The 23,769-nt window shown below is 41.1% G+C and overlaps 1 protein-coding gene across 5 annotated transcripts in view, besides 3 other annotated features; it reads left to right on the top strand.

The window, feature by feature from the left end:
* Positions 9,624-9,983: an enhancer, noted in NCBI's record as "active region_3485". NCBI's record gives its function as "activates an Ori minimal core promoter by ATAC-STARR-seq in GM12878 lymphoblastoid cells {active_cell/tissue: GM12878}" and the evidence as "EXISTENCE:reporter gene assay evidence [ECO:0000049][PMID:35858748]".
* Positions 10,244-10,643: a silencer, noted in NCBI's record as "silent region_2428". NCBI's record gives its function as "represses an Ori minimal core promoter by ATAC-STARR-seq in GM12878 lymphoblastoid cells {active_cell/tissue: GM12878}" and the evidence as "EXISTENCE:reporter gene assay evidence [ECO:0000049][PMID:35858748]".
* Positions 10,390-23,769, top strand: part of VPS26A (VPS26 retromer complex component A) — a 50,235-nt gene continuing 36,855 nt past the window's right edge. For 3 of the 5 annotated variants that reach the window (NM_004896.5, NM_001035260.3, NM_001318946.2), the window contains exons 1-2: positions 10,390-10,492; positions 19,110-19,259. In NM_004896.5, the coding sequence (NP_004887.2) occupies positions 10,490-10,492; positions 19,110-19,259 (153 nt within the window). In that variant the 5' untranslated portion in view covers positions 10,390-10,489. Of the gene's footprint in view, positions 10,493-19,109; positions 19,260-19,743; positions 19,850-23,769 lie in introns of all 5 variants that reach the window. The other 2 variants (NM_001318944.2, NM_001318945.2) reach the window with 2 other exon arrangements.
* Positions 10,848-11,354: an enhancer, noted in NCBI's record as "H3K27ac hESC enhancer chr10:70884392-70884898 (GRCh37/hg19 assembly coordinates)". NCBI's record gives its function as "activates a minimal SCP1, AML or CMV promoter by ChIP-STARR-seq in primed H9 embryonic stem cells {active_cell/tissue: H9 hESC(primed)}" and the evidence as "EXISTENCE:reporter gene assay evidence [ECO:0000049][PMID:30033119]".

Here is a 23,769-nt window from a genome sequence, read left to right on the forward strand (position 1 = left end):
GCAGGAGAATCGCTTGAACCAGGGAGTTGGAGGTTGCAGTGAACCGAGATCATGCCACTGCACTCCAGCATGGTGACAGAGCGAGACTCCGTCACACATACAAAAAAAAGTTCTGTCACTTACCAACTAGATAAGCTTAGATGAGTTACCTAACCTCTCTATACCTCAGTTTCCTCCTTTTTAAGGTGAGGATAATGATAGTACCTACTTTGTAGGTTTGTTAAAAAGATTAAACAAATTAATACATGTAAAGTGCTAGAGACAATGCCATTGAGCAACTGATCAATAAACATGAGCTATTATCACTACTTGTACTATAGGTTAACAATACTTGCCCAAGGGGTTGTGGTGAAGATTAAATGAGGCAATGTATACAATATAGTTAGCTCAGTGTTTGGCAAATAGTAAGCCCCTAAAAAATTGTAATCATGAAAATGTGTGTTGATTGACAGATAGAGCCCAAAACGTAAAAGAGTAAGAATTTAAAAACCTACACAACTTAAAAAAATTTAAGAGTAAGAATTTTAAAAACTACACAAAACTACACATGCTATTTCATAAGATTATCTATGTGCTAGGTGATGGGAATACAGAGGGAAACAAGTACACATCAGATGGCATTTGTCCTTGAGCTTAGTCTAACAGGGTTTGAATGAGAGTGAATGTAACATGTTAGTCTTGCCTGGCACTAAGGAAGGTATTATGTGAGTGCAATAGTAATTGCGGTTTTTGCATTGTTGGAATTTGCTGTTTGATATTGGAATGCATTCTTAAATAAATATGGTTATGTTATACATCATTTTAATGGGCACTTCTTGTTTTATGTTTTTGTGCTAGTGACTTATTACTTGCTGTTTATTTTATGTTTATTTTAGACTACGGAAATAATGTTAAGACAAAAGCAAATTCAAGCTATTTTCTTATTCGAGTTCAAAACAGGTCTTAAAGCAGCAGAGACAACTCGCAACATCAACAACCCATTTGGCGCAGGAATTGCTAACAAACGTACAGTGCAGTGGTGGTCAAAACGTTTTGCAAAAAAGATGAGAGCCTTGAAGATGAGAAGCGTAGTGGCCGGCCATGGGAATTTGACAATGACCAATTGAGAGCAATCATTGAAGCTGATCCTCTTACAACTACACAAGAAGTTGCTGAAAAACTCAACATCGACCATTCTACAGGTCGTTCGGCATTTGAAGCAAATTAGAAAGGTAAAAAAGCCCGATAAGTGGGTGCCTTATGAGCGAGCGAGAATCAAAAACGTTGTTTTGAAGTGTTGTCTTCCCTTATTCTACGCAACAACATGAACCATTTCTTGATCGGATTGTGACGTGCGACAAAAAAAATGGATTTTATGCAACAACCGGCGAATACCAGCTCAGTGGTTGGACAGAGAAGCAGCTCCAAATTACTTCCCAAAGCCAAACTTGCACCAAAAAAAGGGCATGGTCACTGCTGCCAGTCTGATCCACTACAGCTTTCTGAATCCCAGTGAAACAATTACATCTGAGAAGTATGCTCAGCAAATTGTTGATGAGATGCACCGAAAACTGCAACTCCTGCAGCCGGCATAGGTCCACAGAAAGGCCCAGTTCTGCTCCATAAGAACGCCCAAGTGCAGGTCGTAGAACCAATGCTTCAAAAGTTGAATGAATTGGGCTACGAAGTTTTGCCTCATCCGCCATATTTACCTGACTTCTTGCCAACTGACTACCACTCCTTCAAGCATCTCGGCAACTTTTTGCAGGGAAAACGCTTCCACAACCAGTAGAATGCAGAAAATGTTTTCCAAGAGTTCATCAAATCCAAAAGCACGGATTTTTACACTACAGGAATACAAACTTATTTCTCATTGGCCAAATTGTATTGATTGTAATCGTTCCTATTTTGATTAATAAAGATGAATTTGAGCCTAGTTATAATGATTTAAAATTCATGGTCCAGGCTGGCTGCAGTGGCTCACACCTGTAATCCCAGCACTTTGGGAGGCCAAGGGAAGAGGATCACTTGAGGTCAGGAGTTTGAGACCAGTGTAGCCAACACAGTGAAACCCCATCTCTACTAAAAGTAGAAAAAATAAGCTGGACTTGGTCGTGGGCACCTGTAATCCCAGCTACTTGGGAGGCGGAGGCAGGAGAATCGCTTGAACTCAGGAGGTGGAGGTTGCAGTGAGCCAAGATCATGCCACTGCACTCCAGCCTGGGTAACAGAGGGAGGCTCCATCTAAATAAAATAAAATAAAATAAAATTCACAGTCCAAAACTGCAATTACTTTTGCACCAATCTAGATAGCTGGAAGTAAATATTACTTTTGTACCAACCTAGATAGATGGAAGTAAATATTATCAGCCACATAGAAGAAATAGTATATAAAATGTATAGCTTTTTTTTGATTTTGAGACATGATCTGGCTCTGTTACCCAGGCTGGAGTACAGTGGTGTGATCTCAGCTCACAGTAGCTTCCAACTTCTGGGCTCAAGCAAGCCTCCCACCTCAGCCTCCCAAGTAGCTGGGACCACAGGTGCACGCCACCACACCCAGCTGTTTTTTCTTTTGTATTTTTGGTAAAGACAGGGTCTTGTTGTGTTGCCTAGGCTAGGGTTTTGTGTGTGTGTGTGTGTGTGTGTGTGTGTGTGTGTGTGTGTTGTTTGTTTGTTTGTTTGTTTGTTTTTTGTGAGGGACAAAGTCTCGCTCTGTCACCCAGTCCACCCAGTCTGGAGTGCAGTGGTGCGATCATAGCTCACTGCAACCTCCACCTCCCAGGCTTAAGCAGCCTTGAGCTCCTGGCCTCAAGCGATCCTCCTGCCTTAGCCTCCCAAGTAGCTAGGACTACAGGCATGTGCCACCATGCCTGGCTCTCTCTCTATATATTATATATATATTTTGAGACAGGCTCTCATCATGTTGTCCAGGCTGGCCTCAAACTCCTGGCCTCAAGTGATCCTCCCACTTTGGCTTCCCAAAGTTCTGGGATTACAGGCGTGAGCCATCGTGCCTGGCCTTGTGTAGGTTTTCAAATTCTTACCCTTTTACCTTTTGGGTTCTATTTTTCAATCAATTATTTACCATAATTACAGAGTTTTTTGGGGGGGGGGTTGTGGGCAAAGGGTTAAAAACTTCTTCCAATTTGTACTTTTAAGCAATAGTCTAATTAGTAGCCAATTTTCCTATCTGATATTATACAATCAACAAAAACCTGCTGAGGACCAAGCCACCAGGGATTAACAGTTAAGACTACTCACAATTTAGTGGATAAAACACAAATAACTATAATACATTTTACATTATAGATGTTTTTTCAAATCTATAATAATGATAAAATGCTAAGATAGCAAAGGGTTGGGAATGGCTGATTTTGCAGAAGCTTTTTGTCTCCATTCCCTCAGCACGTTGTCTGCTTTACCAGTTGGGTCACTGTTGAAAATATTAATACAGTTGATCTTTCAGAACCCTATTTGTCTTCCTAGGTTTATGCATACCAAACCAAGGTTTCTCAGCTTTGGCATTATTGACATTTATTTATTTATTTATTTTTTAGAGCTAGAGACTCACTATGTTGCCCGGGCTGGTCCAAAGCTCCTAGGTTCAAGTGGTTCTCCTGCCTCAGCCTGCTGAGTATCTGGGACTACAAGTCCATACCACTGCGCCTGGCTATTGACATTTTTGACAGGGTATATCTTTGTTGTAGGGAGGCTATTCTGTGGATTATAGGATGTTTACAGCTTTTCTGATCTCTACTCATTACTTGCCCAGTAGCACTTTCCCCCCTAGAACTCGACAATCAAAACTGTCTCCAGGCCGGGTGAGGTGGCTCTCGCCTGTAATCCCAGCACTCTGGGAGGCTGAGGTGGGCAGATCACTTGAGGTCAGGAGTTCGAGACCAGCCTGGCCAACATGGTGAAACCCCATCTCTACTAAAAATGCAAAAATTAGCCGGGCGTGGTGCTGGGTGCCTGTAGTCCCAGCTACTCGGGAGGCTGAGGCAGGAGAATCACTTGAACCCAGGAGGCAGAGGTTGCAGTGAGCCAAGATCATGCCATTGCACTTCAGCCTGGGGGACAAGAGTTCGTCTCAAACACGCACACACACACACACACCCCTTAGTGGCAATAAATATTAGTAAATAATGAACATTTCAAAATTTTATAGTTTCTTTGGATCAGAAATTTGAGAGAGGATTACCTTGGTGGTTCTGTTAAGGAGATTTTCATGAAATTGCAGTCAATTTGTCAGCTGAGGCTGCAGTCACCTGAAGAGTTAATGAGGGCAGGAGGATTAGCTTCTGAGATGGCTCACTCACATGGCTGGCAAGTTAGTTCTGGCTATTTCCAGGTGATCTCAGTTCCTCACTATGTGGACCTCTCCATTGGACTTCTCCCAGAATGAGTGACCCAAGAGAAAGCAAGTCAGAAGCAGCCGTGAAAGTCACACACATCACTTCCATTTTATTCTGTTGGTCACACAGACCAGTGTTGACAACATTTGAGAAGGGACTACAAAGGAGTGTAAATACTGGAAGGCAAGGATCATCGGGGAATATCTTGGAGGCTGGCTACTATAACACAGTCATTTCAAAAAAAAATCATAAGAGTTGGAACATAAAATTGGAGAAATTATTTAGAAAGGAGAACAAAGAGACAACTAGATGGAAAATAGAAAAGAAGAGATAAGAAAATGACATAATCAATTCAGGAATTCCAATATGCAACTAATAGAAGACCCAGGATGAAAGAGGAGAGGAAAAGATGGGAAGAAATTATCAGAGAAATTTAGCAAGGTTTCAAGATACCAAGTTATTGTAGAAAAGTCACACACAAACACATGCACAAGCAATGAACAATTAGAAAATATTTTTTTAAAACAAAATTTTAAATTTGGTATAGAGACGGGGTCTTGCCATGTTGCCCAGGCTTGTCTTGAACTCCTGGGCTCAGGCAATCCTCCTGCCTCGGCCTCCCAAAGTGCTGGGATTACAGGTGTGAGCCACCATACCAGGCCAGAAAATAAAAAAAAAAAATTAATACAATTTACAATAGTGTCAAAAAATAAATGCTTAGAAAAAAATTTAACAAAAGATATGAAAGGTACTGAAAACTACAAAACATTGCCAAAAGAAATTAAAGCTGTTTTCTCTACTTATTTAGAAAAATAGATAAATACACCATATTCATGGATTGCAAGGCCCAATATTGTTAAGACACCAATTTTCCCCAAATTAAGGTGTAGGTTCAAACCATTTCCAAGCAGTAGATTTTTTTTTTTTGGAGAAGTGGATTCACAATTTATAAATGTATGTTGGAATACAAGAACTTAGAATAGCCAATGCATTTTTGAAAAATAACAAGTTGGAATAATTACAGTACCTTACTTCAAGGTTTACTATAAAGCTATTGTATTGAAGACAGTGTAGTATTGCATAAATATAGACAAACAGATCAATGGAAAAGACTAGAAATTTCAGAAATAGGCCCACAATTATACAGTCAATAGATTTTTTACAAAAACACCAAAGATATATCTATCTATCTATACAGACATATATATATGTATATATATATATACATATATATATATACATATATATATATATATATTTTTTTTTTTTTGAGATAGAGTCTCACTCTGTTGCCCAAGCTAGAGTGCAATGGCCCAATCTTGGCTCACTGTAACCTCTGCATCCCAGGCTCAAATGATTCTTCTGCCTCAGCCTCCTGAGTAGCTGGGATTACAGGCACGCACCACCACACCCAGCTAATTTTTGCATTTTTTAGTACAGACGGGGTTGCACCATACTGGCCAGGCTGGTCTTGAACTCCTCACCTCAGGTGATCCACCTGTCTCAGCCTCCCAAAGTGCTGGGATTACAGGCATGAGCCACCGCGCCCGGCTAACACCAAAGATATTTAAGGGGGAAAGGTAAGTGTTTGCAACAAATGGTGCTGGAACCATGTAGACACAAATAAGCTCTCAAATCTTACCCCATACTATTTGCAAAATTTAGTTTGAGATGGATCTCATTTTACATTTTACACCTAAATGTAAAAGTCCAAATTCTCAAGTCATCAACAGACATTGTTAGGAAAGTAAATAAGCACACAGAGTGGGAGAAAATATTTGCAATTACTACATTTGATACAGGACTTATATTCAAAATATTTGATAAACTATAACTCAATGAGAAAATAAACATCTTAACTAAAAATTGGCAGTCTTGACAGGCACTTCCCAAAGGGAGGTATATGTGAATGATACATATGCACATGAAAAAGTGTTCAGAATCATTAATCATCAGGGAAAAGCAAATTAAAATCACAGTGAGAAAACCACACACTCATAAGAATGACTAATGTTAGAAACACTGACAACACCAAATGTTAGCAAGGATATAGAAACAATATTTCACACACTCGTGATGGGAGGATAAAATGGCACAAACAGTTTAAAAAGTGATGTGGCATTTTCTTGTAAAATTAAATATACACCTAACCCAACCCAGCAATTCCACTTCGGTTAGGTTCACAAAAAAGGCGTGTACATAGTAGCACTTTGTTCACAATAGAAAAAAATGGGCAAAAAGATGTCCACTGACAGGAAAAAGGATATTTTGTGGTCTCTTCACAAAATGGAATACTACTATAAGCAATGAAATGGAACAAACTGCTGATGCATACAACAACATAAATAAGTATCAAAACCATTTTGCTTAGGGAATGAAACAAGACACAAAAGAACACTTGTGGTATGATTCCATTATTATTTTGCTATAGAACACACAAAGCTAATCAATATCAAAAAAAAATCAGAACAGTGGTTGCGTCTAGGAGATGGGATTGATTGTGAGAGGATGTGAGAAAGTTTTCTGGGGTTGATGGCAGTCATCTATATCTTGATGAAGGTGTGGGTTAAACAAATGTATGCTTTTTTTTTAAGAGTCAGGGCCTGGCTCTGTAGCCCAAACTGGAGTGCAGTCGCACCAGTGTGGTTCACTATAGCCTGGAACTCCTGGACTCAAGCAATTCTCCCGCTTCAGCCTCCTGAGCGGCTGTGACTACAGGCATGCCCCACCACCTGGATAATTTTTAAATTTTTTCTAGAGACTAGGGTCTTGCTCCACCATCCAGGCTGGAGTGCAGCGACACGACCATTGCAGCCTTGAACTCCTGGCCTCACGCAATCCTCCTGTGTTGGCTTCACAAAGTGCTGAGATTATAGACATGAGCCACGGCGCCCTGTGACACCATGCACAATCAAAATGTATGCAATTGTCAAAACTGATCAAACTGCACACTTAAGACTAACATATGTCACTGTATGTACATTATATCTCATTTTAAAAAGAAAAGAGGAATAGTGAGATAAAACATTAAGTATTGGTACATTTAAGAAAAAACTGTATATTGTGAAAAAATGTTTGGCTTTTATAATTGTAATTTTTTAAAAAAAGAATATTTACCATGATTACAGCTGCACTCGCTAAAGTTTTTAAGCAAAATCTATTCTATGTGCTCTGGGAGGTTAAAAGAAAAAAGTGTTTCTATACTTCACTGGCATGCTTTAAATTGTATTTTATTTTTAAATTAAATTAATTTATTATTTATTTTTTGAGACAGGGTCTCGCTCTGTTGCTCAGGCTGGAGTGCAGTGGTGCAATCTCTGCTCACTGCAAACTCTGCCTCCCTGGCTCAAGCTATCCTCCCACCTCAGCCTCCTGAGCAGCTGGTCCAATAGGCACATGCCACCACTCCCAGCTAATTTTTGTTCTTTTGCAAGAGACAAGGTCTCACCATGTTGCTCAGGCTGGTCTCAAACTCCTGGGCTGAAGTGATCCACCTACCTCAGCCTCCCAAAGTGTTGGGATTACAGGTGTGAGCCATTGCGCCCGGCCTAAATTGTATTTTCTTTCTTTATCCTTTTTGTGTATTTGTATTTTATTCTCTTCCCTTAACTTTGCCAGTGAACTCTGCAAACAGCTGCTCCCTGACACTCTCACAGTTATTAATGTGAATTTTTAGTCTTTGTGAATTTGAACAAATGACTATTTTTCTCTTAACTGGTTTCTGATTGATAAAAGCTCAGATTATCTTATCATCTAATACTTTCTGACCTAAACTCGGTACTTTTGTTGATGAAAGTCAATCCCTGTAAGTTAGTCACATTTTCCTCACACACCCCACCTTTTTTTTTTTTTTTTTTTTGGCAGAGGGCAAATATAGAGATGCCACAGTTCTCAGCTGGTGAAACACTGTACTGCTCACAATCTAGCTCTAACATTCTGGCTTGCTGAATAGATTGATAGGTAGGCAGACAGACAAATAACTAGCTCAACAATTCTGTTGCTTCTTGTATTTATTATGATAGCACAATTATTGATTGGGTTTTGATCAGTAGAATAAATAATTAGTACAAATTGGTTTCTAGTGTGACTTTCTTTGCCACCTCTTATTTATACCTGGCTTCGCTAGTATTTCTTTGCCTGTGTGGCATTTTCATCTATTCTCTTTGTTATGTTGATATTTAAGTCCCAGAAAAGAGTGGGTAGGAACCAGAGTAGCTCTCAAGGTGACAGGCAAATCTTCTAAGTGAAAAAAACCATTTTTCACTTTTATTAATTAAAGATTTGCATTGTTTTTGCTGCTTTCTTTTCACAGTTCAAACAGACAACAATATCAGTGTTACTATAGTTATTTATTTTTTTTGAGATGGAGTCTCGCTCTGTCACCAGGCTGGAGTGCAGTGGCGCAATCTTGGCTCACTGCAATCTCTGCCTCCTAGGTTTAAGTGATCCTCCTGCCTCAGCCTACCGAGTAGCTAGGATTACAGACGTGCACCACCATGCCCCGCTGATTTTTGTATTTTTAGTAGAGACGGGGTTTCGCCATGTTGGCCAGGCTGGTCTCAAACTTCTGACCTCAAGTGATCCGTCCGCCTCGGCCTCTCAAAGTGCTGGAATTATAGACTGTGAGCCACCATGCCTGGCCCAAATATGTGCATTTAAAGCTACAAATTTTCCTTTTACACAGTGTCACTGCATTCCACAAATTTGATATGTTGTATTATTATCTTTTATTTCAAATTATTTTATTTTTATTATTTTTTATTTTTGAGACAGAGTCTTGCTCTGTCGCCCAGGCTGGAGTGCAGTGGCTCCATCTCGGGCACTGCAACCTCCGCTTCCCGGATTCAAGAGATACTCGTGTCTGACCTCAGGTGATCCACCTGCCTTGGCCTCCCAAAGTGTTGGGATTACAAGTGTGAGCCTCCGTGCCCGGCCTCAACTTATTTTTAAATTTCCATTGATCTCTTCTTTGACCTAGAGATTTGGAATTATGTTGCTTAATTTCCAATATTTCCGGAATTTTCTGGCTTGTTTGGGTTGATTTCTAATTTTAATTCTATTGCGGTTAGAGATGATACTCTGATTTCAATCCTCTTAAATTTGAGGCTCACACTGAGGATTAAGTATAAAAAAATTTTTTTTGATACCTGTTTCATGGACTCGCCTCACAAACTTCTGTTTTAAGGTGGGGTAATTATAGTGCGTTCAGGGATGGATTTTTCTTCTGCTTTGGTTATGCATAGAGTGCACTGTGGCCCTTCAACACTATACTCTGAAATCCCACACAGTATTTTCCTCATCTGGAGGTCCTATAGGCTTACACTAGGGAGGAGGATCCAGTTCAGGCCAGCGTAGTCTTCAGCTGCGCCGTGGGACTTTCGGGGGAGCGCCTTTGCCCTCTCAGAACGGCTGGGCGGAACGGTGGGTTTGTGAGCCCTCCAGGCTCAGGGTGGGTCGCTCAGGGGCCATCTGGGGACTTTGGGAAGCAATGAAAGTTGTACCCTAGGATTTTTTTCTACTGGTCTTCTCTTCAGAGGCGAGAAAGCCAAGTTAAGAAAACCCAGACTCAGAAGGAGGTGGAGCGGGACTGCGTTCAGGCAAGGTGGCAGAACGCCTCGCCGTGGACGAAGAGAGCACATCTCTTCTTGCGAGGCCTAAGGAAGTAGGGCTCCCACTCGCCTCGGCAACCCAAGGACCCAGCCAAGGAGAGAGCCTCCAGATGAATCCTTCCTCTCCTCCTTCCTTCCCAGCCGCTCAAACTTTCACAAAGAGGAACTGGGTGCGGTAAAGAGGCCGGACACGGAACCGCTCGTCCGGTGACCGAAGAGACGGCGAGGAGGAGCCCGCGAACCCGCCTCTGTTCAGGCCCCGCCCACTCGACGTAATTTGCCCGCCCCTCTCCACCCTCCGAAGGGTGGAGCCTGAGGCCCCGCCTCCAAGCGGCCTCTCCCCGGAGTGCCTGGCGGCCAGCAGGGCGGGGCAGGAGGCTGGGAGAGGGACGGGTGCGGGGGTGGGGGAGAGGAAGGGAGCGGTCACGTGTGAGGGGCGGCCCGAGGTCACGTGACGGAGCGCCGGAGCGGAGGGAGCCGGGGCTGGGAGTTCTCCTGAGGGAAGAGGAGTGGAGTAGGGGGGACGCGGCGGCGGCGTTGACAATGGTGAGTGCGCGGCGGCCAGCGCGCTCGCCTCCCGCCCTCGTCCCGGAGCGCGCGGCGGGCCGGCCAACCGCGGGCCGGGCGTCGCCGGAGGAGGGGACGGGGGAGCAGGGCGGGGAGCGGGGTTAGGCCTGTCGGGCCACCCCTGGGTCTGGGAAAAGCTGGCGGCGCCACCTCTTCCCGGTCTCGGCGAGGCCCGAGCACCTACGGGCGGCGGCGTGCTCTCCTGGCCATGTCGGAGCCTCTGCCCGCGTTCTTCGACTGCTTGTTGGGGCTCTGGCTGGGGACTCGGACCCCGCCTCTGCGGGGGCTGGTCGCCGCCTCCCCTTCCTAGGTAGCCAGTCCCTGTTCTCCTCCCGGGCAGCCTCTCTTCCATCCAGGTGGGGCGACCCGGGAGCCCCCCACCTCCGGACTCTTCGGGGGACTTGGGCACTCAGTGTGTCACGAACTTGATAAACTCTGATATTTTAAAACCTGACTATGGTGACATTCTTTGATTTCATGACCCCAGTTCAGGCTTTCTGTTGACACTTGTAAAATGGGAGAGAAAAATAAAAGGACGTTGGAATGGGGGATATCTTTAACTCCAGAGACACCCGTTTGGTGCCCGCCGTTTTAAGCATTGGCTCTCATTTCCGTCCGCAAGCTATTTCGCTGAACTTAACGCTCTGGGTTGTTGAAACGGCCTATGAGGCAGAGGAGGGAGGGGAATCAGTGCTCTCACCACAGTCCGCGGAAGCACTAGCCTGGGCATTGTGGTATTTAGCTGGGTGTCGGCAGTCTCTAGGTTAGATCTCATTTTACCCATTTTCTGGTAGTAGTCGTCAGTTCTCTTCATTTAGCGCCTACTGTATGCTCTCCTAATACTACCTGCTCTTCCCAAAGCTCACTGATTCAATAGACTGCTTGAGACTTTTGGCTTAAAAGGCCGAGCCAGGTATATTTTTAAAAAGCTACTTTGAATAAATAACTTTTAATTTCAGTAATGATGTTGCTTTCAAAACAAAACAAAACAAAATCCAGACATTCATGTTCATTCTTAGAGCTTTTTTTCTTTCATTCAACAAATAATTGCTCAGGTGTGCCTAGGGGACCCCAGTAAAATGGAAACAGCGCCTACCTGCTCTCGTAGCTTACAATGTAGGGAGAGATAAACATTTATTTGTGTAAATTATTTGTTTAACGTGGAAATTAGAATTGTGACAGATACTAAGAAGGAAGTATTGGGGGACCTTGCCTAGTCAGTGTTAGGGCAGGCTTCTTTAATTGAATATCATTTGAAAAGAAAACTTAAAAGGTCCTCCTATTTTTTGCTTACATTTGTAATTATTACTTTTAATACGCTTTTTTGAATTATGTTCAAGAGCAGTTTATATTTTCAAGTTACCCAAACAGAAACTAAATTGTAAAACTTTAAAACACTGAAATGGTCACAGATGTAATATATGTATGAAAATTTGCTGTTTCATTGCTTGTGTATGGGCTAAGTGAATGAATTTTGAGAGTCAGCCTTCCACCTCAGAAATGCAATGAGTTGCATTTCTTTACATCCACTGGACTTAGTGAAATTCCTTCAGTGGGGACTAAAAAGTTGCCTTTTTATGTATCTACCATGTATTTTTGCTAATTGGTAATGCTCAATATTGGGTTCAGAAATTATATGAAAAATCCTAAATTAACCTAAAGTCAGTGATAGGAGGTTTAGGCCAAGATTAGAAAACTATAAAAACAATTGCTAGCATGTTTTTATAGTCATATATATTGCAGTCCAGTTATTTAAAAGCTCAAGAGTTTTAACTTGCATATTAATAGTTAATCCTGAAAATCGCAATATTCCAAATGCGCCCTTGAAGATATCTTTACCAAAAGAAGTGAGTAGTATTTTTGCACTTAAAAGATCTCACGGGGTGCGGTGGCTCACACCTGTAATCCCAACAATTTGGGAGGCCGAGGTGGGCGGATCACCTTGAAGTCGGGAGTTTGAGACCAGCCTGGCCAACATGGCGAAACCCCGTCTTCACTAAAAATACAAAAACAAAAAAAAATTGGCCAAGTGTGGTGGCGCATTGCTGTAGTCCCACCTACTCGGGAGGCGGAAGTTGCCTGACCAACATGGTGAAACTCCGTCTCAACTAAAAATAAAAAAATTAGGTGTGGCGCACACCTGTAATCCCAGCTACTCAGGAGGCTGAGGCAGGAGAATCAATTGAACCCGGGAGGCAGAGGTTGCAGTGAGCCGAGATCGCGCTGCTGTACTCCAGCCTGGCGACAGAGTGAGACTCCGTCTCAAAAAAAAAAAAAAAAAAAAAAATCTCAAAACTGAATTGCTGTCTGCATCATATCCTAACCCTCAACAAATTTTATTCTCTTTCCTTCTAGTCTTTACCAGCTTGACAGTTGTGTATTTTACTTCCTCTTTAACATATCAGAAGTATTAGAATTTTATTTAGAATAATTAGAAAAAGAATTTAATTTCATTACCCTTTATTTCAAATGACAGAAGTTGCACATCTTAGAAAAAACTTTGAAAGAGAGACTTTGGGTAGAGATCTTTCTCTTTCAGTTCTTTCTAAAAGACAAGCTTTTTTCCTCAGTTATTTTTTTCTTTTTGTTCTCTACCTGTAAAATGTAAGATATCCACAATTTTCTGGAGGTGTTTTTTAGTAAGACTAGTTCTTTTATTATTATTATTATTTTTTGAGACGGAGTCTCGCTCTGTCGCCCAGGCTGGAGTGCAGTGGCGCGATCTTGGCTCACTGCAACTTCCGCCTCCTGAGTAGCTGGGACTACAGGAATGCGCCACCACACCCGGCCAATTTTTTTTTTTTTTTTTTTTTTTTGTATTTTTAGTGGAGACGGGGTTTCGCCATGTTGGCCAGACTGGTCTCAAACTCCTGACCTCAAGTGATCCGCCCGCCTTGTCCTCCCAAAGTGTTGGGATTACAGGTGTGAGCCACTGTGCCTGGCTGACTAGTTCATTTTCGATATGCCCTAATGTAAAAAAACTGAATGTTGGTCGGGCGTGGTGCACTTTGGGAGGCCGAGGCGGGCGGATCACGAGGTCAGGAGATCAAGAGCATCCTGGCTAACACGGTGAAACCCCGTCTCCACTAAAAATACGAAAAATTAGCCAGGCGCGGTGGCGGGCACCTGTAGTCCCAGCTACTCGGGAGGCTGAGGCAGGAGAATGGCATGAACCCGGGAGGCGGAGCTTGCAGTGAGCCGAGCTAGCGCCACTGCACTCCGGCCTGGGCGAAAGAGCGAGACTCCATCTCAAAAAAAAAAAAAACCTGAATGTTAACCCAATGCCATATTGTCATGGAATAACTGGTTAAAGTGCAGTAATTTATTACTCAACCTATTACTTTTTTGCATATGCTATACTAGGCTTTTTAAAAATGCCATTTGATTGCTTCCAATTTTAGTGTTTTGATTGTATTTAAAAATATCTTTTTTTTTTTTTTTTTTTTTTTTGAGACAAGCTCTTGCTCTGCCGCCCAGTCAGTGGCTTACTGCAGCCTCGACCTCCTGGGTTCAGCCTCCCAAGTAGCTGGGACTGCAGGCACACACCACTATGCTGGGCTAATTTTTTAAATTTTTGTAGATATGGGGGTCTAGCTGTATTGACGAAGCTGGTCTTGAACTTCTGGGCTCAAGTGATCCTCCTGCTTCAGCTTCCCAAAGTGCTAGGATTACAGGTGTGAGCCACTGTGTTCTGCTACTTTTTTTAAAATTATGAAATATTTCTTGCATCCAGAAAATAATAGAGGATAGCACGTAGTTTTTCACATATTTTTAATGGTTAGGAATTTAAATATTTAAGGAATGGTGTCAAAACACTGTTTATCATTATGGTGTTAATTGTGAAATTTTATAAAATGAACTTGGTTTATACCATTTTAATTGGTGGCAATTTTAGTTCTATCAAAATTTTATTTAACTTTGGGATTTGATTTTTTTTTTTTTTTTTTTGAGGCAGAATCTCACTCTGTCGCCCAGGCTGGAGTGCAGTGGCAAGATCTCGGCTCACTGCAACTTCTGCCTCCTGGGTTCAAGCGATTCTGCTGCCTCAGCCTCCCGCATAGCTGGGACTACAAGTGCATGCCACCACGTCTGGCAAATTTGTTCTGTTTTTGTAGAGATGGGGTTTCACCGTGTTAGTCAGGATGGTCTCGATCTCCTGACCTTGTGATCCTCCTGCTTCGGCCTCCCAAACTGCTGGGATTACACGCGTGAGCCACCGCGCCTGGCGATTTGATCTTTTAATGTCAGCTTTCAAATCCCAAGTGGAACTCTGTGTGTTTAGGTATATGCATGTGGAAAAAAGTTATAATATTTCCTTTTCTCTGTAAAACAATTTTTATAGTTTTCAAATCTCATTTTTCTTTTAAGTAGCTCTGGGAAGTGTCAGGAGGAATGAGAAAATTAATTTTAAGGCCAAGCAAGGTGGCTCACGCCTGTAATCCCAGCATTTTGGGAGGCTGAGGCGGGTGGATCACTTGAGCCCAGGAGTTTGCGCCTGGCCTGGGCAATGTGGCAGAAACCCTGTCTCTACAAAAAATATAAAAACGAGCCAGGTGTTGTGGCTCACGCCTGTAGTCCCAGCTACTTGGGAGGCTTGAGGTGGGAGGCTTGCTTGAGCCCATGAGGCAGAAGTTGCAGTCAGCTGAGATCATACCACTGCACTCCAGCCTGGGTGACAGAGTGAGACTCTGTCTCAAAAAAAAAAAAAAAAAAAAAAAAGAATTAATTTTAATTTTTCTATCTCTGTTTTATAACTCAAATGAGTTATAAATGTGGATGTCATAAGGAAGGAGAGCTCATTCTTATTGCTCTCTCTGCCAATTAGCATTATCCTTCAATATAACTGATTTTGTTTTCCATCTAAAATAGACTGCTACTTGAAGATGTTGTCTTCTACCCTTTCATGATTGCTCCTCCCACACAACCCCTGTACCCTGCTAGCTCAGCACATATTCGATTAGTAAATGTGAGCTGCATGATTTTAAGCTGCTATACATTCTCATTTCTGTAGCCCTTAGAGGAAATGTACTACAGTATTTCAGAATTTACCATTTTGAGTTTAAGACTTGGAGTACGAAAGCCACCTAGGAATGGACAGTGTGTGTGACCTATCACTGATGATTTTCATTCTCTTTTTTCTAAATTAGTTCAGAATAGTTTTCTGATTAAAATTAGTTTTCTGGTTAAAATTCGAGTTTGTTATTTGTAATTTTGCCAGAAAAGATTAAAACGTGTCAAAAAGAAAAAAAAATTTTTTTTTTTTTTAAACAGAGTCTCACTCTGTCCCGAGGGCTGGAGTGCAGTGGCGCGATCTCGGCTCACTGCAACCTCCACCTCCTGGGTGCAAGTGATTCTCCTGCCTCAGGTGCATACCACTACGCCCAGTTAATTTTTTGTATGTTTAGTAGAGACGGGGTTTCACCGTGTTAGCCAGGCTGGTCTCGAACTCCTGACCTTGTGATTCGCCCACCTTGGCCTCCCAAAGTGCTGGGATTACAGGTGTGAGCTACCGCGCCTGGCCCAAAAAGAAAATTTGCTACATATGTCAAAAGTACTAATCTGGTAATTCTTTTAGTTGGTTGCTTAAAATTATAATCCCTTTTGTTAATACAGGATTTAGGAAAACATCTCATTTGAGTATAGCATCACCTTGTGCCCTACATAGCCACAAAGCAAGCTAACAGAAAGCAAACTAATGACTCTCCTAAGTGAGGACAGAACTGAGGTTTAATATAAATTCCATTGATATAGTTTGCTACTATACCAATGCTAATTTGCTCAGAAAGGCTAATATTATTGACTATTCCAGATTTCAGTTAATTTCTCTTGTATATTTGTTTATTTTCTGTTATTAAAATGGTATGTGTTTGTTCAAAATTAACATTCAATAGGTATTTTAATGCCTTCTGCTAAATGCCATACGCTGCCTTAGATGAGCCTCATGGAGTTTACAGTTCAGTAGGAGAGTCAGGTACTAAGTAAGCCTTGTGAAACCTAAATTTGGAGAATCCAGTTTTGATTAGGAAGTCAAGGAAGGTCTCATGGAGAGGGAGTCAAACTGAAACTCAAAGGGTGAATTAGGTTAAGAATACTTTGCTTGGCTCTAAGACAAGAAGGACACTAGCAAATTGGAACTGTTGAAGAAAGAGCTCTGAACGTTGGAGGCTGAGTAGTTGGAGAGATGACTAGTGTCAGATATATGTAGACCACATTAGAGAATACATTGTGTGTGTGTCTGTTTTTAAAATCACAACTGAAGTAAAATAACTATGAAAAAGTACACGAATAGGTGTATAGCTTGATGAATTTTCACCAAGTGAAATACCTCTGTATCAAATGCTCAGTTATAAAAAAAACAGCCAGAACATTACTAGCAGCCAGAAGCTCCCTTTGTGCTTTCTTTCAGTCACTGCCTGACCTGTAACACCATAATGTACCTTACATGTTTTTTGCTTACTATGTGAGTGGAGTTATACGTACGTTTTGTGTATTCCTTTTGTGTCTGGCCTCTTTCACTCAACATTATGTGTATGAGATTCATTCTTGTGTGTAGTTGTATCTCCTCTAATTCTATTGCTGTTTGGTGTTCCCATTTGTATGAATATATACTAAATTGCATATATCCATTCTCTTGTTGATTGATACTTGGATTGTTTCTATTTGGGGCTATTATGAATAACACTTGTGAACATTTTTTTTCTGGAGACAAATTCTTGCTCTGTTGCCCGGGCTAGAGCGCAGTGGTGCGATCTTGGCTCACTGCAACCTCTGCCTTCTGGGTCCAGGTGATTCTCCTGCCTCAGCCTCCCGAGTAGCTGGGACTGCAGGCATGCACCACCATGCCCGACTAATTTTTGTATTAAAGACGGGGCTTCACCATGTTGGCCAGGCTTGTCCCGAACTGCTGACCTCAAGTGATCTGCCTGCCTTGGTCTCTGAAAGTGCTGGGATTACAAGTGTGAGCCAGCGCGCCCAGCCAGATATGTTTTTTAAAGATCATTCAGAGCCAGGTGCAGTGGCTCACGCCCATAATCCCAACACTTTGGGAGGCCGAGGCAGGAGGATTGCTTGAGCCCAGGAGTTTGAGACCAGCCTGGGCAACAGAGTGAGACCCTGTCTCTACAAAAATTTTTTTAAAAAAGATCATTCTGGGCCGGGCGCGGTGGCTCATGCCTGTAATCCCAGCACTTTGGGAGGCCAAGGCGAGTGGATCACGAGGTCAGGAGATCGAGACCGTCCTGGCTAACATAGTGAAACCCTGTCTCTACTAAAAATACAAAAATTAGCTGGGTGTGGTTGCAGATGGCTGTAGTTCCAGCTACTTGGGAGGCTGAGGCAGGAGAATGGTGTGAACCCGGGAGGCGGAGCTTGTAGTGAGCCAAGATTGCACCACTGCCCTTCAGCCTGGGCAACAGAGCAAGACTCTGTCTCAAAAAAAAAATCATTCTGGTTGTTATGTAGGACAGAATATGAAGGGATGTAGGATGACATGATAGGAGACTGTTCTCTGTGTAAACTTAAAAAGATTAGAAGACTAAATTTCATTGTGGCTAAAATAATCCATAACTATATCCAGTATCAAAATTGCTAATGGATTCTGTATTATTACCAACTGATGTGTTTTGGCATTGATAAGCAATTGATCTTTGTCCCTTATATTTGTCATATTCAGGATTTATAGAACAAGGCTTGTAGATTTTCTTTGGAAAAATTCACAGAAATTTTATTTTCCTTCATTATAGCCAGTTTTACTACAAGGGCTTTCACAGTGTAACATATCCTGTTCAGACCAAATATAGCAGTAGATTTTACAGTAAGTAGTGCATTATAGTAGTACATTTGGATTTGTGTGAGTACTTTGAATTGTGTAAATTCTGCTATAATAAAAGAACCTCATAAATAAAAGTATAAATAAAGGTAATTTTTCAAGCCTAGCTGTTAAGAATTAACTTCTTAGATTTCTGACATATGTTAATATTTGATTATAGTGGTTTTGTATGGAAATGATTGAAATTATAGCATGCTGAAATTTGTTTAGGGTTTTTTTTTTGGTCTTTTTGGTGGTTAAAAACACATAACATGAAATCTACCCTCTTAACATTGTACTTAAGTTGTTCAGTTTTGATGTAGTTTTTTTTTTTTTCTTTCTTTCTTTTTTGAGACGGAGTTTTGCTCTTGTTGCCTAGGCTGGAGTGCAATGGCGCGATCTTGGCTCACTGCAACTTCTGCCTCCTGGATTCAAGTGATTCCCCTGTCTCAGCCTCCCGAGTAGCTGGTATCACAGGCGCATGCCACCACGCCCGGCTAATTTTTGTGTTTTTAGTAGAGACAGGGTTTCATCATATTGGTCAGGCTGGTCTTGAACTCCTGACCTCAGGTGATCCGCCCACCTCAGCCTCCCAAAGTGCTGGGTTTACAGGCGTGAGACACCATGCCCGGCCTTTGATGTAGCATTTGATATATGTTTTTATCATTTCCTTATGAACTCACAGATTTGCAGTCTATTTAACCGTAGTTCATAGGTAATTAAATTCAAATTATAAAATGTAGTGACTGACTAAACATGATAATTATGACCATTTTCATTTTATTTCAGAGTTTTCTTGGAGGCTTTTTTGGTCCAATTTGTGAGATCGATATTGTTCTTAATGATGGGGAAACCAGGAAAATGGCAGAAATGAAAACTGAAGATGGCAAAGTAGAAAAACACTATCTCTTCTATGACGGAGAATCCGTTTCAGGAAAGGTAAATCTTCTGTTTGACAAAACTATCTAATTGTAAGATATCAGAATTAGTTATCAAAGTGGTCTGTGCTGTTTCTTAAATTTGAATAATTTTATGAGGGAGAGAGATTTTTTTTTCCCTAAAGTTCAGCTAAAATATTTGATTGATTAGAAGATAATCTTTCCTGCAAAGGAAAGATTCTTACCCTGGAAGGCTTTCAAGGGAAGAGCCTCTAAATTTCATGCAAAATTTTCTGTTTAAGTCTCCTGTGTGGTTCATGAAAAAAAAAATATTTTTTTTTTCTGTTTGTGATTATGTGCTTCTGTCTGGTTTCAGACAGTTTCTTCAGATCGGAGCTGTAATTCACCCAAAGTTTGTTTTTCCTTTAACATTAAGTTAGAGATTGAGAGTAATTCTCTGGTATAACTTTCTAAAGGTTTTTTTACATTCTTTGTAACTTACCTCTCTGTACTGCTACTATTGTGTCTGTTGATCTTATTTCTAGGTACTCTGTAGAGGACTTGAGTACTTTTGGGATGTGTCTATGCATGGTCAGATATGTTTATGACGCCTTCTATAAGGTTTCACTTTTTTCCCCTTTTCTTTATCCGGTAATGTATACGGTTTTTTGTTTTGGGTTTTTTGGGTTTTTTGTTTTGTTTTGTTTCGTTTTTTAAATAGGGTCTCACTCTGTTGCTCAAGCTGGAGTGCAGTGGTGTGATCATGGCTTACTGCATGCGGCCTTGTACTCCTGGACTCAGGTGATTCTCCCACCTCATCCTCTCTGGTAGCTGGGACTACAGGCACACACCACCACTTCAGCTAATTTTTTAATTTTTTTGTAGAGATGGGGTTTGTCCATGTTGCCCAGGCTAGTCTTGAACTTCTGGGCTCAAGCAACCCACCCACGTAGGCCTACAAAAGTGCTGGGATTACAGGTTTGAGCCACCACACCTGACTGATTATTCTTATATTTTAGGGAGTATGATCAATACTTATTAGTGGTCAGTGATAGTGGAGAATGGTAATATCATAGACAAAAGCAAACCACAAAACATTTGAAATAATTTAAAAATAGAAAATACTAGGATTTTTCTCCCCTGCTTGTTCAGTTAATATATTCATGTGGTAGACAGTTTTGGAAATATATATAATCTCTTCATATAGAAATAATTCACTGTTAAAATTTGGATGTGCTTCCTCTAATCTCCGCATTAATTGATATTTATGTATATGTAATATATTCAGCATACTTTTTCCTCTATTGTTTGATATTTAAGCAGTTTCTGTTTTTCAGATGGCTTTCTTCATATCTTTGGTAATATGGACATCGGTATACGTAAATTTTTCTCTAAATTTCTGTAGGACGAGATTATTTCCTTAGAATAGATTGCTGAAAGTGAGCTGCTAGGCCAAAATTCGTGAAATATCTGAAGGATCTTAATACACATTAATCTGGAAAATGTATTTGCATTAAATTACATGTCCACCTGTGGGTCTTTTTCACCCAAGGCAGCATTGAATATGATCACTTTGTAATCTTTGCTATTTTGGTAGGCAGAAACAATCTTATTATTTTAATTTGCATTTCTTTGGTTACTAGATAAATTGAACTTAGATTTACCAGCCATGTGAGGTTATTTTTTTTTTTTGTACTGCATTGTCTCTTCTGGTCCTTTGCCAGATTACCTACTGGGGTCTTAGTGTTGAATCCGAAGTGAATTTTTTGGTTTTCAACTTTACTTCCCTTTTATTCTTCCTTTTAAAAGATGAAAAAAGAAAAAGGCCAAGTGCAGTGGCTCACACCTTTAATCCCATCACTTTAGGAGGCCGAGGAGGGAGGATCACTTGAGCCCAGGAATTCAAGACCAGCTTGGGCAACATGGGGAGACCCTGTATCTATTTAAAAAAAAAAAATGGAGAAAAAGGCCTAAAGAAGAGCAGACAATCATCAAAAGGATGGAGCATGTCAAATGAAAGAAGAGTAAAAGTAGTAGTGTTTGGCCTATTGAAATGACTTGTTAATGGGCTGGGGGCATAGGAATACCAATCTAGCTTTCTTTCTAGGGAGAGACTGAACCTAGCATCTCAGGTATTTCTTTTACAGATATGACATGTAAATATCTCTCCTACTAATTTGTAAGCTCCTTAAGTTCAGGGGATCAGAGTGTGCTTCTGTAGTCTCCATAAAATACATGATAGTGTTGATTATATAATAGGCTTTCACTAAATATTTATTTGGTTTATTTACTGTTTTTAAGTCTTGTAGAGAATATCTTCAGTCTAGTTTAAAGTAATCTTATGTCACCTGGACCAGTTGAAGTTCATGGCTGATGTTTATGGGATAAAGGAAAAGGGGGGTGTTTAAAGTAAAAGTAAAGCTACTCCAGTGTGTTCTTTAAAAAGAATAGTTGGTGTTCAAATTACATTTTGATCCTGGGTGTGGTGGCTCATGCCTGTAATCCCAGCTCTTTGGGAGGCTGAGGAGGGAGGATTGTTTGAGCCCAAGAGTTCAAGACCAGATTGGGCAATGTAGCAAGATCCTGTCTCTAACACTAAGTAAATAATTTTTTTAAAAATTACATTTTGGCATTGCTGGAAACCATACGTAGACCTGATCAACTATGGATAGCATGTTTTAAAATGATAAGATCTCTTATAGGTAAGTATTTTCAGTTCAAAAGTTACTATATCTTGAATCTGATTGTTTATTGGTTTGAGATTTTTTTCATTTTTAATGTTTTTATTGAAAAAACACGTGTAGAAAACCATATACAACAAAAATAAATTATTATAAGGCATATTTTCTTATTATCACCATCCAAGTCAAGAAGTAGTACTTTGCCAGCTACCCCATGTGTCCTGTCTCCATCACACTCCCATCCCCTCAAAAGTAACCAGTGTACTGACTTTTATAGTAGTACTTTCTTGTGTTTGTTTAGTCTTGCTCATTTAAGAAAAATTTGGTACGGTTTTTAAATCTCTCTTAATCTCAGGTTCCCTCTTCATACCTTTCTTTAACTTGCAATATCTGTTGAAGAACACTTGGTCATTTGAATTGTAGAGTTCTCTGTGTTTGTGTATTCCTGGTACAGTTATTGCCTATCAGTTGGCAGCTAGGTCCAGAGGCTTGAATCAAACTCAAGTTTGATTCTTCTGGCAAGAATATAGGTGGTGGTGTGTTTTTCCATTGCAGGTGCAAAATGTCTGGTTTTCTTTCTCTGTCATTTTTCTTTTCTTTTCTTTTTTTTTTTTTGAGACAGAGTCTTGCTCTGTCCCCCAGGCTGGAGTGCAGTGGCGTGATCTTGGCTCCTGCAACTTCCCGCTTCCTGGGTCCAAGTGATTCTCCTGCCTCAGCCTCCTGAGTAGCTGGGATTACAGGCACGCGCCACGACATCCGGCTAATTTTCGTATTTTTATTTTTAACAGAGACGGGATTTCACCATGTTGGGTCAGGCTGGTCTCGAACTTCTGACCTCGTGATCCGCCCAGCTCAGCCTCCCAAAGTGCTGGATTACAGGCGTGAGCTACCATGGCTGGCCTTTTTTCTTTTTTGCAACTGTTGATACTCAGTACCTAGATTGATTTAACTCATTGGGAGTTGCAGAATGGTGATACTTTAAATTCTGTCATTTTGTTTTTACTTATGAAATGGAATACATTTACAAAGAGACGTTATCTATATCTTGTGACCTAGTGGTACAGCTCATATAGAAAAAAGAATGCTTGACCTTTTTCCTTTTTTGGCCTGTTTTGTTATTTATTTATTTATTTATTTATTTTGAGATGGAGTCTCGCTCTGTTGCCCAGGCTGGAGTGCGATGGCGTGATCTCGGCTCACTGCAGCCTCCACCTCCCGGATTCAAGTGATTCTCCTGCCTCAGCCTCCCGAGTAGCTGGGATTACAGGCACGTGCCACCATGCCCAGCTAATTTTTGTATTTTTAGTAGAGATGGCGTTTCACCATGTTGGTCAGGCTGGTCTCGAACTCCTAACCTTGTGATCCGCCCGCCTCAGCCTCCCAAAGTGCTGGGATTACAGGCGTGAGCCACCGTGCCTGGCCTTTGGCGTGTTTTAAAAAATAATAACTTGGTTCCTTATCTTCCAAAGGTGTAAACTACTAGTTTTATTTCTCAATAACTTATATAAACTCATGATTTAAACATACTTGATGTTTATAAATATTGCCCTATTGAAGCTCTAGTTGTATAATCCTCTGTAACAAATTACCACAAACTTAGCAACCTAAAATAACAAATTTATGTCTTAGGATTTTTGTGATTTAGAAGTCCAGGTGGAGGTTAGCTGGGTCCTATGCTCAGGGACTTACCAGGTTAAAATCAATCCAAGGTTGCAGTCTCGTCTGAAGTTCAGGATTTTCTTCCAGGCTCACTGGTTTTTGGCAGAAATTTCCTTGTTGTGCTATGACTGATACCCTTGTTTCTTGTGCAGTAGGCTGTCTGTTCCTATAGGTTGCCCTCAGATCCTTGCTGAGTGGCCCCTTTCTCTCAGTTTGCGTTGTCTTCAAGGC

The sequence above is a fragment of the Homo sapiens genome, chromosome 10 (assembly GCF_000001405.40).
Source record: "Homo sapiens chromosome 10, GRCh38.p14 Primary Assembly".
NCBI lineage: Eukaryota > Metazoa > Chordata > Mammalia > Primates > Hominidae > Homo > Homo sapiens.